Raw genomic sequence first — 16536 nt, 5'->3', positions numbered from 1 at the left:
AGGTCTACTTGTTCTGCCCTCTTGAGAAAATCCAAAGTTAAATGGTAGTTTTACTAATTTCCTTTAGATTCAGTACCTTATTTTCCTCACACAAAAATGTAAACATTAAGGATAACATCATATTTAAATGATTCATCCTACAATAGACAGACTTTGGGTCATTCATTGATTGGGCTGAAGTCTCACTCACTCTCTATTATTTCTAATTTTTTCATGTTAACAGCCTAGAAAATCTACTACACATGGAATGTTATAAATTAGAAATTAACACCTTGGATGTACAAATTATAAAAGTAAACTGAAAAGTATAATATAAAATAAATATTTATATATTATGGATTGTTATTCGAGTAAAGCAAAAGTATTCATTTAAAATATTTTCACAAAGAAAAGTCCAGGGCAAACTAACCTATATAAAACATTCTACCAATATTCAATAAATAATTAATACTAATTCTTCAGCAGAAAATACTTCCAAAAAATGAAGAAGAGGGAATATTTTCCAATTCATTCTAGAGGCCAGTAATACTGTAATACTAAGGCCAGACACAAGTATAAACAGAAGGTGTGTGGGCAAATATGCCATATTCATGTAGACACATACAGCCTCAGAAAACTTTAGCACGCTAAATCCAGGCACATAAAATATGAATATACACCAAGAACAAATGTGATTGTTTTGTAAATGTCATTGTGACTTAGTATCTAAAATTCAATCAATATAATACCCAATATTAGTAAAGAACAAAAAGTGATCCTTTAAATAGATACAGATAAAGTTACAAATATCAAGCATCATTCCTGACAAAACCCCCAGCAAACTACTAATAGAAAAGATTTTGAGACCCACTAAGAGGTATCTATAAAAAACCTACAGCTAACATCCATCATACTTAATGGCGACAGACTTGTGCTTCTTTACCTGAAAGTTTGAGAGACAAGAATTTCCACTTTAACCACTCTATTCAGCATTGTAGTATTAGCCAGGAAAATTCTACAACAGAAAAAAATTGTCCAGATTGTAAAATAAAAGTAGAACCGTCATTATTGCAAATGAAGTAATTTTCTGCAAAAAAAAAAAAAAGATTCACTAAAATATCACTAGAATAAATACACAATTTTATCAGGGGTTTTTAAGAACTGTACAAGGTGGGACTCTAGGTGCATAGGTTCAGTGCATAAACATACATCTTTAGGAGGCTGAGGTGGGTGGATTACCTAAGGTGAGGAGTTCAAGACCAGCCTAGCCAACATGGTGAAACCCGGTCTCTACTAATAAAAAATAGAAAAAAAAAAAAATTAGCCAGGTGAGGTGGTACACACCTGTAATCCCAGCTACTTGGGAGGCTGAGGAGGAGAATCACTTGAACCTGGGAGCCGGAGGTTGCAGTGAGCCGAGATGGTGCCCCTGCACCTAAGCCTGGGCAACAGAGTAAGACTCTGTCTAAAAAAAAAAAAAAAAAAAAAAAGATCTAAAAGCAACTAGGGGTCACCTGTTCAAGTTTGTGCTGGTTGGAGATCTTATCTCCTTCTGATATCTGGTCAGGGGTGGAGAAGCTCTGGTGCTATTGGGCCATCTGGTTTCTTTATGCAGCTGTGTCTACAAATAAAGAAACTAAAGAAACACAGTAAGAAAAAGAACTTTGCCAGTTATTTCATCAGGGTGGCCCTGGTAATATTTTTATTAATTTTTCATTTATTTATTTATTTATTTTTTGAAATGGTGTCTTGCTCTGTCACCCAGGCTGGAGTGCAGTGGCTCCATCTCAACTCACTGCAACCTCCACTTCCCCCCACGTTCAGGCGATTCTCCTGCCTCAGCCTCACACCCAGCTAATTTTTTGTATTTTTAGTAGAGACAAGGTTTTGCCGTGTTGGCCAGGCTGCTCTCAATCTACTGACCTCAAGTGATCCTTCTACCTGGGCCTCCCAAAGTGCTGGGATTACAGTCATGAGCCACTGAGCCTGACCTAATTTTTCTTAAACGTATGTAGAGCGCACATTTATTTCAGTGTTTAATATTGTAAGTGTTTTGGGGCTTTCCAAGTTTGGTGATGTTTTTGTGATCAGAAATATGCCATAGAAACTATTTCTATCAATTAGGCTATGGTAAAATTGGTTTAATTACAAGTCACAGTTTTCAAGAACATATTAAATCCTCACACTAAGTAAGAACTTACTGTATTCAGCAGGCAATGGAGAGTCAGAAAAGCTTAAGCAAAAATGAGCAATTCTTTTACCAGAACATAGGTGATAAGACATAATTGTATGAAACATCAGGTTTATAACAAATTTATTACATTATGTAGATATTATTAGGGCTGTGAAGATAAAGGCCACATAGGCCCATTTATTTGCAAGTCAGCACATAAACATAGAAGGATGATTAACAATATAAGCTTCTAGAGCTTATGCTAAATGTTGGTGGGAACAGACAATCAATTATGGAGAACTTCAGAGGACACTAAGCTTGGATGGGATCTTGGAAGTTTTACAGGTGAATGTCATTCCATCTATTGGCTGGCTTTCACTAGATTAATAAATGAACAACAAAAATAACATACATCAGAAGTTATAATCATTTCATTGAGTATCTGTCACATCTATGCCATTGTAGTGTACTAGGTGACTTATAGCACTTATGAGTCCTCTACTTACAAAATGCTTTTCACAAAATATGAAACTCCAGGCAAAGATTCAGACATATAATGTTTGTTTTAAAATCTCTTTTTTTTTTTTTGAGACAGAGTCTCACTCTGTCACCCAGGCTGGAGTGCAGTGGCACGATCTCGGCTCACTGCAAGCTCTGCCTCTCAGGTTCAAGAGATTCTCCTGCCTCAGCCTCCTGAGTAGCTGGAACTACAGGTGCGTGCCACCACGCCCAGCTAATTTTTGTACTTTTAGTAGAGACAGGGTTTCACTATGTTAGCCAGGATGAGTCTTGATCTCCTGACCTCGTGATCCGCCCACCTCAGCCTCCCAAGATGTTGAAATTACAGGCATGAGCCACTGCACCCGGCCTGTTTTTAAAATCTTTATATAGCTTGGTATCCTTTTTCCTTTCCTTCCTTTTACTCTTTTATGAGTTTTATCTTAGACTAACCTCTGTAATGTTGCTATATGCCAGTATTCAGTTGCTGCGTTTGATGAATCATAAAATGGTGTAAAACTTCAATTAATGTTCTTTTTAAATAAAATATTTATGAATGCATCCAGCAAAATGCTTATGATTTGGGTATTCACAAAGTATTCAAGAATAGAATGTATTCTGACTTGGAATGTGCATAAAATCAGCTGAGTGCAGTGGCCTATGCCTGTAATTCCAGCACTTTGGGAGGCCAAGGTAGGTGGATTGCTTGAGGTCAGGAGTTTGAGACCAGCCTGGCCAACATGGTGAAACCCTGTCTCTAATAAAAATACAAAAGTTAGCCAGGCATGGTGGAGCATGCCTGTAATCCCAGCTACTCTGGAGGCTGAGACAGGATAATCACTTGAACCCAAGAGGCAGAGGTTGCAGTTAGCCGAGATTGTGCCACTGCACTCCAGCCTGGGTGACAGAGATTCCATATCAAAATAATAATAATAATAATAATAATAAGAAGAAGAAGAAGAAGAAGAAGAAGAAGCATTTCCTGTGACTCCCAAGATAAAATAGCATTACAGAATACCGAATAATCCTGAATTTGGTTTTCTTTTGCTTTTTATTTAGTTTTGTTCACCTTGACCAGCGGGCTGGTGGTTCTTAAGTGCACCTGCGTTTTCATTGCTAGGGTCAAGATTTTCAAACTTTAATATGGTAATTTCTCTAATTTTTTTGACAGTTATTTCTCAGGTTGCAAGTTAAAATAAAATTTCCATTTTACTAAAGTCTTTGGTTTATTAATTACTTTATAATGAATTAATATATATTTAATGAGTAATGAGGGGTACTACAAAATTTCAGAACTCAAAACTAAAGAACTTATTCATGGAACCAAACACCACCTTTTTCTGAAACACCTATTAAATAAAAAATATTAAAAAAATTTTTTTTAAATAAAACTAAAAATAAAATGAAAATGAAAAAATATATATCCAGGTTAAAAGAAAAAACTATTTCAGTTAAACAACAAACACTTTTTTGGGGGACTCTACTACAAAATTGTTTGTTATTATAATTACTAAGGCAGACAAAAAATCTAAGTTTTTTAAAATAAAAAACAGTAAGTAAAAAAAAAAGATAATAACAAATATTGGTATATCGGTGAAGGCTAGGCTCAGTGGCTGTTTTCCAAAGTGGTTACACCAGTCGGGTTTGATGGCACACACCTGTAATCCCAGCACTTCGGGAGGCTGAAGCAGGCAGATCACTTGAGCTCAGGAGTTTGACACAGACCTGGGCTACATGTCAAAACGCCATCTCTACCAAAAAAATGTAAAAATCAGCCACACATGATGGCATTCACCTGTAAGTCCCAGCTACTTGGGAGGCTGAGGTGAGAGGATCACTTGTGCCTGGGAGATCACGGCTGCACTGGCCATGTTCACGCCACTGCACTCTAGCCTGGGCAACAGAGCAAGGTTTTGTCTCAAAAAAAAAAAAAGAAGTTAGTGACAACGTGGAAGAATTGGAACCCACATACATTACTGGTGGGAACATAAAATGGTGTAATCAATTTGGGTGTTTCTTTTCTTGTCATTTGATTTTTTAAAAAATCAAGATATTGTCTCCCTATGTTGCCCAGGCTGGTCCTGAACTCCTGGGCTAATGCAATCCTCCAAACTCAGCCTCTCAAATACCTGAGACTAAAGGTGTGAGCCACTGTGCCTGACTGGTGTAACCACTTTGAAAAACAACATGGCCGTTATTCAAAGGCTGAATGTAAACTTACCACATAATGCAACAATTTCACTCCTGGGTGTAAATCCAAGAGAAATAAAAATATATGTTCACACTAAAACTTGCATATGATTGTTCATAGCAGCATTACTCATGATGGCCAATATGCAGAAACAACACAAATGTCCATCAACTGATGAATGGATAAACATAAGCTATTATTCAGCTACAAAAAGAAAAAAATACTGATATACACTATAACATGAAAGAAATTTGAAAACATTGTGCTAAGAGAAAAAAAAGCAAACTACAAAAGATCACATATTGTACAATTCTATTTCCATAAAAGGTCCAGATTAGGCAAAACTACATTGACAGAAAATAAATCAGTGGTCGTCTATGAAGACACAGGAATATGGAGGAAGTAGGAGGTAGCAGTTAATAAGTGAGGGTCTCTCACTCATAAGTGGGTAACTCATAAGTGAGTAATCACTTCTAAAAGTGACTGTGGTGATGGATACACAGCTCTTTGAATATTCTAAAAACCACTGAATTGTATACTTTCTTTTTTTCTTTAGTTATTTAGAGACAAGGTCTCCTTCTGTCACCCACGTTGTAGTGCAGTGGCGCCATCTGGTCTCACTGCAACCTATGCCTTCTGGGCTCAAGTGATCTTCCAGCCTCATGTCCCCGAGTAGTTGAGACTACAGGCATGAGCCACCACACCCAGCTAATTTTTGTATTTTTAAGAGAGATGCTGTTTTGCCTTGCTGCCCAGGCTAGTCTCAAACTCCTGAACTCAAGTGATCCACCTCCCTCAGCCTCCCAAAGTCTCAGCATGATAGGAATTAGCCACTGTGCCCAGCCTGAACTGCATACTTTCACAAATGAATTGTATGATATGTTAATCATATTTCAATAAAATCATTAAAGGGGCCGGGTGCTGTGGCTCATGCCTGTAATTCCAGCACTTTGGGAGGCTGAGGCGGGCAGATCACCTGAGGTCAGGAGTTCGAGACCAGCCTGGCCAACATGGCAAAACCCTGTCTCTATTAAAATACAAAAAATTAGCCAGGCATGGCGGCATGCACTTGTAATCCCAGCTATTCATGACGCTATGACAGGGGAATTGCTTGAACCAGGGAGGTGGAATTTGCAGTGAGCCAAGATCATGCCACTACATTCCAGCCTGGGTGACAGAGCAAGACTCTGTCTCCAAAAGAAAAAAAAAAAAGAAAGAAAATAGGGGTTGAACACAGGTGGCTCCCACCTGCGTATAATCCCAGCACTTTGGGAAGCTGAGGCAGAAAAAACACTTGAGGCCAGGAGTTTGACACCACCCTGGGCAACATAGTAAGATCCCATCTGTACAATAAAAAACAAAGAAGTCAGCTGGGCATAGGGGCAAATGTCTGTAGTCCCAGCTACTTGGGAGGCTGAGGTGGGAGGATTGTTTGAGCCCAGGGGTTTCCAGCTGCAGTGAGCCATGATCGCACCACTGCACTGCAGCCTGGGTGACACAGCAAGACCCTGTCTCTAGGAAGAAAAAAGAAAAAGAAATGCAAGTTTTTATCACCTTCTGAGAGTAATGGACTTTCAGGAGGAATAGAGTAAAACAAAAGACCACTGAATGGTTGAGGGTGGGTTGCTGGTTAGGCTCAGTTCCCAGCTGAGTAGTATCTGAAAAATTAGTAAAATTATGGTTCTGGCATGAGTCATGCAGTCAAATGATGAATGCTAAATCCATTGCAAATGCCCATGGTCTTTCTTTACATGAATTCCAGTGAAAAATTCCTAAGTTCCTAAATAGCAAGTGAGTACCTAGAACTATAGGCACATGTCACCGTACCTGGCTAATTTTTACAAAAACTTTCTGTAGAGATGGGTTTTCACCATGTTGCCCAGGCTGGTCTTAAACTCCTGAACTTAAGCGATTCTCCCGCCTCAGTCTCCCAAAGTGCTGAGATTACAGACATAAGCCACTGTGCCCAGCATGTACATCTCTTTCACTCGCTGTTTCTGGATACATCCTTTACAATGAACCAGTAATAATAAATTGGTGAGACACAGTGGCTCACGTCCATAATCCCAGCACGTTGTGGAAGTTGAGGTGGGAGGATCATGTGAGGTCAGAAATTTGAGACCAGCCTGGGCAACATAACAAGACCCCATCTCTACAAAAAATAAAAGAACATAGCCAGCTATGGTGGTGCAGTCCTATATTAGTCTCAGCTATTTGGGAGGCTGAGGTGGGAGGATCACTTAGGGCCAGGAGTTTGAGGCTACAGTGAGCTTTGATCACACCACTGCATTCCAGCCTGGCAACAGAGTGAGACCCTGAATCTCAGGAAAAAAAAGGAAAATAACCTGTTTTCTGAGTTCTACAAGGTGTTTTAGCAAACACCCAAAAAGGGGGCCATGAGACCCTGGTTCTAACTGATTGGTCAAAAGAACATGTAACAACTCAGGGCTTGCAATTGGCATTTGAAGTGAGGGTAGTCTTGTGGGACTGAGCCCTGACCTGTGCGGTCTGCACTAACTCCAGGAAGTGTCAGAATGGAATCATGGGATACTGGGTTGGTATCCAGATTGTCTGAAAATTGGTGTAGAAACTCTGCACGCACATTTGGTTGGAAGTGTTTGACCATAACTACTATTCAAGAAAAAAAAAAACTACTCATTAGAACTTAAAAACATAAAATTGTATGTTCTACAAAAACAAATCAACCGTATCTACAACCAAGTCCTACTGAACTACTGAATGTTAGAACGGAAGGCCTCACCGTGGACTCAAGAGCTGACATGAGGAACGTCACCACCATCCTGCTCTCATAGGAGTCCTCATCTTCAATGGACAGGGTAGACACTAAAACTTGGGCCATGATCCCTGCACAAGAGAAGTAGTAAGAAAGTGAGTGGTGGGCAGGGTGTGGTGGCTCACACCTGTAATCCTATCAGTTTGGGAGGGTGAGGTGGGTGGATCACAAGGTCAGGAGTTTGAGACCAGCCTGGCCAATATGGTGAAACCCCGTCTCTACTGAAAATACAAAAAAAATTAGCCGGGCGTAGCGGTGCACACCTGGAGTCCCAGCTACTCAGAAGGCTGGGGCAGAAGAATCACTTGAACCCAGGAGGCAGGGGTTGCAGTGAGTGGAGATCGCACCACTGCACTCCAGCCTGGGCAACAGAATGAGACTCCATCTCAAAAACAAACAAACAAAACACACACACACACACACACACACAAAGAAAAGAAAGTAAGTGGTAAAAATCCAGTGCCCTAAACCCATATCCAGAGCTGTGAGAGTTTTTCACTGCCTAATTTACAGTTTTCTTGCATCAGAGAAAAAATAAGGCTCAGAAACTAGGTATTCGATTTGCCCAAAACTCTCATCAGATAGAAAATCCATTCCCTAACTTTCTAGCTAGTATTACTTCCATAAAGTTAGATCAGTATCACTCCGAAAATAAATACACGTCACCCAGTATATTTCTCCCAAATAAAAGAGGAGGCAAGGCGTTTTACAACCCAGTGATGGGCTACCACATCAACACAGGAAAGAGGTGCCAAGCTCCTTTACTCCCGTCCATAACCCTACACAGAAAAGAGTGGGTGCAGTGGAATGAGGCTGGGTGGAGAGAAGTTCCTCTTCTTACTGACAAAATAGATCACAGGGCATCACGTAATATGTAAAAGTCTTTATAATACAGCATATTATTTTCTTTGGAAAACCTTTTCTAATATTTTGGTATCAGTAAAAACCCTCAGATGAATTTCAAACACTATAAAAATACAATACATACACAGAAAATATTAACTGTCAGTAAGCATATAGAGAAATTGGAAACTTTATGCATTGCTGTTTGGAATGTCAGCCCCCTGTGGGAAATGGTTTGGCATTTCCTCAAAATACTAAGCGTAGACTTATCATATGATCCAACAACACCCTTTAAGGGTATATGCCCAAAAAAACTGACAGCAGAGACTCAAACAGGTATTTGTACACCTGTTTAATAGCAGCATTATTCACAGTGGCCAAAAGGTAAAACCAACCCAGCCCATCAGTAGGTGAATGAATAAAGAAAATGTAATATATACATACACAGAATATTATTCAGCCATAAAAAGAAAAAAAATCTGGCCAGGTTTGGTGGCTTACACTTGTAATCCCAGCGCTTTGGGAGGCTAATGTGGGCAGGTCACTTGAGCCCAGAATTTTGAGACCAGGCTGGACAACATGGCAAGACCTCATCTCTACAAATATATATATATATATATATATATATATATATATATATATATATATTTTTTTTTTTTTTTGAAGGAAATTCTTTTAGTGTTATAAATGAGCCTTGATAACATTATGCTAAGGGAAATAAACCAGACACAAAAGGAAAAATATTGTACAAGTCTACTTATATAAGGTATCTAAAATTGGCCGGGCGTGATGGTTCACACCTGTAATCCCAGCACTTTGGGAGGCCAAGGAAGGGAGATCATGAGGTAAGGAGATCAAGACCATCCTGGCTAACACAGTGAAACCCCGTCTCCACTAAAAAATACAAAAAAATTAGCCAGGCGTGGTGGCAGGCACCTGTAGTCCCAGCTACTCGGGAGGCTGAGACAGGAGAATGGCGAGAATCCGGGAGGCGGAGCTTGCAGTGAGCCGAGATCGCGCCATTGCACTACAGCCTGGGTGACAGAGCAAGACTCCATCTCAAAAAAAAAAAAAAAGAATAATGTAATCTATAAAATAGAATAAGCATACAACAGGCCGGGTGCAGTGGCTCACACCTGTAATCCCAACACTTTGGGAGGCCGAGGTAGGCAGATCATGAGGTCAGGAGATCGAGACCATCCTGGCCAACATGGTGAAACCCCGTCTCTACTAAAAATACAAAAATTATCTGAGTGTGGTGGCGTGTGCCTGTAATCCAAGCTACTCAGGAGACTGAGGCAGAATAATCGCTTAACCAAGGAGTCGGAAATTGCAGTGAGCTGAGATCATGCCATTGTTCTCCAGCGTGGTGACAGAGTGAGACTCCGTCTCAAAATAAATAAATACAAAAAATACAGTAAAATATAAAATCTCTTTTTCTCCTATCCTTCTGCTGGTACTTCAATTTCTGCTGGTACTGTTCCATCATTGCCCTCTAAATAATAATGGCTTCATAAAATGAAAATAAACAACATACAATAAACCAGTAAAAATTCACATTGAAAGAGAAAAGAGAAGCTAGGTAACAATGCAAACACTTTTAAGACATAATAAACATATAAAAACTGATCCTTTTAACTCAATCCAAATAACGTTTCTAATTCAGAAAAAAATATAACACATATTTGGAAGCTGGAAAACATTATTTTAAAATATGAATACACAGTAGACTCAAGTAGGTTTAGGGATTTAATATTAGTGTATCTATGTGATAAAATTACTGGATATTGGAATCTGAAGAAGTACAATTATGGTTCAAGTACCATGCTCATCTGTCACTGACACACACACACAAACAAATTAGCATGAATGCTTGCTTTGCTCAGACAATTAACTCTCTAGAAGTTCAGGGTTTGCTGTGGAATGCTCCCTGTTTTCCATTTTCACTATGGTGAAAGCTATGGAAACTCAATCCATGTAATTTAATCCAAGCTGTACATAAAGTAACTTATAAGTAAAAACTGAAGATACTACCTTTAGTGTCAAAAATATTTTAATCCCAGTAATATAATCTGCCTGCTTCTAAAAACTGGGATATAAAACAATAGATTAATCAGGCAGTCACAAGGGAAACAGGCTCATCCTACTGGAGCAGAAGTTTTATTCACAAATAGGAAAGAAAGAATCTAAGGTATCAGAGGGCCGGTTAGGATTAAGACCACAAGCTGCCAACAGGAACAAGATATATTATTTTGTTTTAAGCCATGAAAGTTTAACAGGGCAGTTTGTAATGAAGAAACAAATAATAACAAACGATCTATCAAGCTAGAGAAAGACCCCATGCTCATTTCATTTTGTCTTACTTCACTAGTATTGCAAAGGGAAAGTGAGAAAGAAAAAGACAGAGAAGGAGAGAAAGAGAAAATTGAGAGAAAAAGAGAGACTCTCCAAACAAAATGATTATGTCTCAAAAGAAAATAAAATTTTTCATCTATTTGTCTAACACACACACACACACACAGAGAGAGACACACACAACTCTACTGCTTGGTATCCCACCCTATTTTGTATCCCTGAGGATTTATTTGAGTCCTTGAGAAAGCCCCTTATGAACATTAGAGCTCCTCTTAGGGTTAGTGGGGAACGGGTATAACTGAGCTTTCCCTACAGACTAGAGTAAATGTGCTAAGCCAGAATGTCTTCTTCCTCCTCCTCCTCTTCGTCTTTCTCCTCTCCTCCTCTTCTAAATTTAAATAGTCTATATATGATTTTTATTACTTATGTAATTGAGTTCCTAAATGTGTCCCAGGCTTAGTTTCTTCACACTCTTAAAAACCTATGCTTTTAGAAATCCTTAGGTTCTGGAGTCCCCTAGTCTAGGTTGGATATCTTCGTGTGCTATTTGCTATTTTTATGGCATTTGTCACTTACTAGCTGAATTAGTTCATTTCCTCACTGCTATGAAGAAAAACCAAAAACTGGTAATTTATAAGGAAAATAGATTTAATTGACTCGTAATTCCATCGGCTGTTAAGGAAGCATGATGATGACATCTGCTCAGCTTTTGGGGAGGCCTCAGGAAATTTACAGTCATGGCAGAAGGCGAAGGGGGAACAGCCCTTCACCTGGCTGCAGGAAGAGCAAGAGAGAGAGAGATGGGAAAGGTGCCACAAACTTTTAAACAACCAAATGTCATGAAAACTCAATCACAAGACAGCACCAAAGGAATGGTGCTATAGCATTCACGAGAACTCCACCTCCATAATTTAATCACCTCCCACCAGGCCCCACTTCCAGCACTGGGGATTACAATTCAACATGAGATTTGATGGAGTTAAAGTCCAAACCATATCATTAACCTTTTCTATGAATCAGGTTTTTAAAAAAAATCTGTTAATAATGGCACCTACAATTTGCTGTGAGGATTTGATAAATTAAAATTATTTGTCAATAACAACAATGTCCATGAAAAACTTGATTGAAAGTTAAATAAGAAAATCCTTCTAAAGCTTCCAGTAAGCATCAGTTAATAATTGGTAGTTTCTGTTTCTCTTATTGTTTTTGTTAAAAACAATTATCTTCTACATGTGAGTAATGGTAAAATGGGACAACAATGTGATTTGTTTCAAACAATTTATTTTTATGCTGGTATTTCCTACTTCAGAATAAATGAAAATATAGATTATTGAATCTGACAATAAATCATATTATTTATAAATGAAAGCAGAATGGAAGATTAATTTGGATTCAGCTATTAAGAAGACTGAATAACTGATATGAAATATTCCTACACACTAGTTTTAAAATTATGCTCTACAAGGCAACTTTGAGGGTTTTTTGAAATGACATGTTTATGGTAGACAAACGTATCATATGCTCTTACGAATATTCAATAGGTCAGCAAAAGATCCAACTCTAAATTTTCATGTCACAGTCAGCTTCCTAAGACCACTCTATGCATAACTGTGTTACACAGGTTTCCTGGAACAGACCTTGAAGTGGAGGACTGCAGGCAGAATCTTTGTTGTGGAGTGATCTTGAGATACACACCTGTAAAGAAGTGAGAAATGCAGGATTAGACAGAGGGGGAAGCTGCCAAACAATAAGGTGACAATGGAGGATTCTGCTGATTCTATAAACAGCTCTGGACTTAAAATGAGCCTTCACATTGCTCCAAATTGAGTTGTAAGAGTTCAACTTTGATATCCCCACCATAGGACAACAATGGACCTCAGGATGCATTCACACAATGGGCATACTCTTGACTATGCAGTTTCCTGTGGTTGAGAGCAATTCCTAATTGAGTGATGAAGCTGTAAATGGTTTTCTTCATAAACTGGGAAATGGTTTTCTTGGAGGCCCCGAAGAGGAAAACTGACAGAGTATCACAATAACAGCTACAATATCCCAGATCTAAAACAATTTAAAAATATTTATTAGGGTGATTCATTTCTTTATTTCTTTCAAAACATGTTTACAAAAACATGTTTTGAAAACATTAAATATCTTTGATATAGTTTAGTAGGAAAATACTCAAAATCAAAATTGTAAAAACAATGTTTCTTATACAATTAAACTGCATTTGAAGTAGATGGTAATGTAATACCAATCTTGAAAAGTTTTTCTTTTCTAAAACAAGGTGCCAATGATGTACTACACTGTAATTAACACTGAAATTCTGGGAACTACTTCATCATTTCCAGTCACTATAGTTGCAAAGCTGGGAAGTAAACACTGTACATCAGATGATTGCTTTCCCATGGAATACAACAGGCTGAAGTTCCCTTCATTATACAAATTAATAAAATTCAAACTATATAAAATATATATTAGTCATCGATGATTAATTCACCCATATCTGGGTACCAAAGGTCTGGACTACTTAAACCATGTAGATTCAAAATTCTATATTGGGAAAAATTATAAGGAAAACCCGAAGCTTTCATACAGTGTGAAAATTATTCAGCACATATGGATAATTTTTGATGTTTGAAATAAGCAGAAAGATCTGTAATGGAGATGACTTTATGACTTTGTTTAGGAACAGCATAAAAATAAACATTTTAAAGTGCTGTTATATAAAAATAAAACAACAGTTACTTCTCTATGTTTTGAAAGCTAAAACTAAATAAATGATAGTAGGAGCAGAGGTGCTTTGTTACAAGTTCTTTTCAAGCACTTACAATTAATACCTTTAATGGCAGAGGAAAAAAAATACTGCTTCAACAATATAAAGATATAGCAGTTCACAGCGGCAACCAAGCAAGATGTTACTTTGAAACGCCCTGCTTTAACAGTATACCTGGGGACTTTGCATTCTCCTCTAAACTGGGTTTAATATAAAGCAAATCCCACCACAGCTGTCTTCAAGCTTTCTAGTAAAATGGCCCTCCAGAAAGATGATCTTTGGTGTTAACCCCTGTCAAAATGACAGCTCGCCAAATGGAGAAGTCAAATCCAAGAAAAAAACAATAGAAAGTTTCGTAGAAGTTAGTGAGAAAAATAAAATTTTGAGTGTTAAATGATTCTCACAAATTGAATACCATTTTACTTATTTTCTCCAACAAATCCATTCACCAGTATCATTATAATTTATGACTTTTCTTGTGGTACAATGCTATCCTTTCATAAATGTACTTCAATGAAGTAGGATTACTCCTGTATATTATTACTATGGATGCTACAGTCATGCTTTCTTTGTGCACAAGTTGCCATGAGCTAAAGCCTCATTAAAAAAGGTAGATCTGTTTCTAGGTATGTCTACTCCTATATTTTATCAAGTATGTATGCATGTATGTATCACAATATCTAAATATTAGCAAGTTTATGAGACAGTGATATTGATAACAATATCTTCAGTAGAATTAAGATTTATCTTCTTTGAGATCAGAAAATAAAACCATGTTAGATTTAGCTTAGAACATGCATACCTAAAAAAGATTGCTTAAATTAGCTTATAAGTGAGAACTGTGATAAGTATGTTAAGCAAACAACTTACTGGAAGTTATTTCTTCCATTCTGTATACTCTTAACTACCACATATCATAAAGTCCTAAGAATCTAGTTTGGGAAAGTATAATAGAAGACGGAAGCAATTATTTAGATCATTTAATCTAAAAAAATCCCATCATTGTGCCAATTCTTTGGTATTTCAAGGATAGTAAGATCAATGTTTTCCATGATTATTGTTAGTATTATTTTATCATTAATTTTCATTAATTTATGATTTATTTAATACTTTCTTGACAATATCGGTATATCTTAAAATCCTGCTAAATTTTACACGTGTAAATTCTGGATATTACTAAGCTGACCTAAACTACATATCTCCGAAAAGAAAAACTAAGGTGACAATACAGTTAAAACCAAATTTTAGTTTCAGATTCTAAGGAAATAATGTATAAATTTGAAAAATAGCTATGTTCTTATATAATTATAAAATAAAAATGTTATTTCTATCTAAATTAGACAATGTATTAATCTAGATTAATGAACATGCTCCAAATATTTTGAACCAAATTACTATTTCCCATCTATTACAACATACGATTCCCATCTATTACAACATACGATTTTTACTACTTTGTACATAAGTGTATTATTGAAATGTAACTATTATGTCTCCTTATATTTTCTTTGTAACATTTAAAACATTCTCATTGTTTTAAAAAAATGCATATGCTAATACTTAGGAAAAGGCTTTCTTGTGCCTGAGATTTCTGTAACTGTGAAAAGCATAAGGGAGAATTTCTTTTCCAAAAACATAGACGTTAATGAAGTTGTTTTTTGAGGCCTGTTCTTCGTAACTGTTTTCTAGGTGATGGACTATTATCAACTTGCTCCATAATCCGTTTAGCGTTAAAGAGGACCACAGAAACTGCACCTCCAGGTGTCACAGGTTACAAAACTAATAACTAAAACAAATTAAAAAACTTATCTCAGATTCCCTCCTGGAGTCTACTGCCTTGTTTATACAGCTGGAGGACAAAGTCAGCCACTGCCTGAATTCATATTCTGCACTATGCGATTCAGGAAATAGTGAGTCCAAGCATTTCTTACTCTTAAAATTGTGTTCAATGTTTGCAGTCACTTTCCTATCCCTGATATTATCAGGAAAGGGCCTGCAATTTCCTTTCTACTTCTCTGAGTCAACTGCAAAGTCTCAGATGTTTTCACAGTTGAGACAAGAGAACAAGAAGCACCAATGAAAACCACGGGGTTCTATGGAGGCATCATGGTGTGGTGAGTAGAAGCATGCTACTCTAGCTGTATCTCACTGGGTTCAAATCCTGACTATACGGCATATGGTGCATTAACAGCCCGCTGACCACAAGAATTTCTATGCTGGTAAAATAGGTTTATAATAATGCCAGTCAATCTAAAGATGCTTTAAGTGAAGACTATTTGGTGTTTTTCAAGGACTCAATAATCATTAACTGTGATCACGATCTTTCCCTTACCTACTTTCAATAAGTAAATAATTTACATTTATTAAACAAAAGAAATTTAATCTTGCTTTTCTGAAACAACACAATTCTATTTCAATTTTCTCTACATAGAGGGAGCATCTCACCGCAGATAAAGATGTATGTATATTTTTTCTCCACTCGAAATTATGCTGAGACTCAAAAACAGAAATATCTAGTATGATATCAATTCATATATCAGTTATGTTTAGAGGGAGTTGGGCTAAACATACAGCATTCATTTAAAATGAAGGCCTCCCGTCACACTTTGCTGATGGTATTTAAGTATTGAAAGCCAACTTTTTCTACCTGCTTACTATTATGTCATAGTAGCATGATTTCCCAGACAGCAGAAACTTTGTCTTTTTGTACATAGCTAGGCATTTGATGCTTGTAACAGTGACTTCTCGATAATTATTCATTGCCAGGAAAGATAATTACTTTAAAAATTTATTTAGGAAATTATTTAGCAAATAGTAAATAAACAGTATTAGCTGGTTGCTATTATTTCTGAATATCAGTTTCCCTAAATTTTCTCATCTGAAAAATGGAGATATGTATTTCACAGCAGCATTGTGAGAGACAATAGAGT

At 37.2% G+C, this 16536-nt stretch overlaps 1 pseudogene across 1 annotated transcript in view; it reads right to left on the bottom strand.

Annotated features, from left to right (window-relative positions):
• The window catches only part of GTF2IP8 (general transcription factor IIi pseudogene 8), a 63889-nt pseudogene that overhangs the window by 30402 nt on the left and 16951 nt on the right, over positions 1–16536 (bottom strand). Inside the window, exons 3-4 of the transcript XR_007066431.1 lie at positions 12471–12528; positions 7603–7706 (exon numbers count right to left, since the gene is read on the bottom strand). The product of XR_007066431.1 is annotated as a general transcription factor IIi pseudogene 8, transcript variant X1 (transcript). The remainder of the gene's footprint in view (positions 1–7602; positions 7707–12470; positions 12529–16536) is intronic.

Source organism: Homo sapiens, chromosome 18 (assembly GCF_000001405.40).
Source record: "Homo sapiens chromosome 18, GRCh38.p14 Primary Assembly".
NCBI lineage: Eukaryota > Metazoa > Chordata > Mammalia > Primates > Hominidae > Homo > Homo sapiens.
The sequence above is the reverse complement of the archived record's forward strand: the minus strand, read 5'-3'. Positions and strand labels throughout refer to the sequence as shown.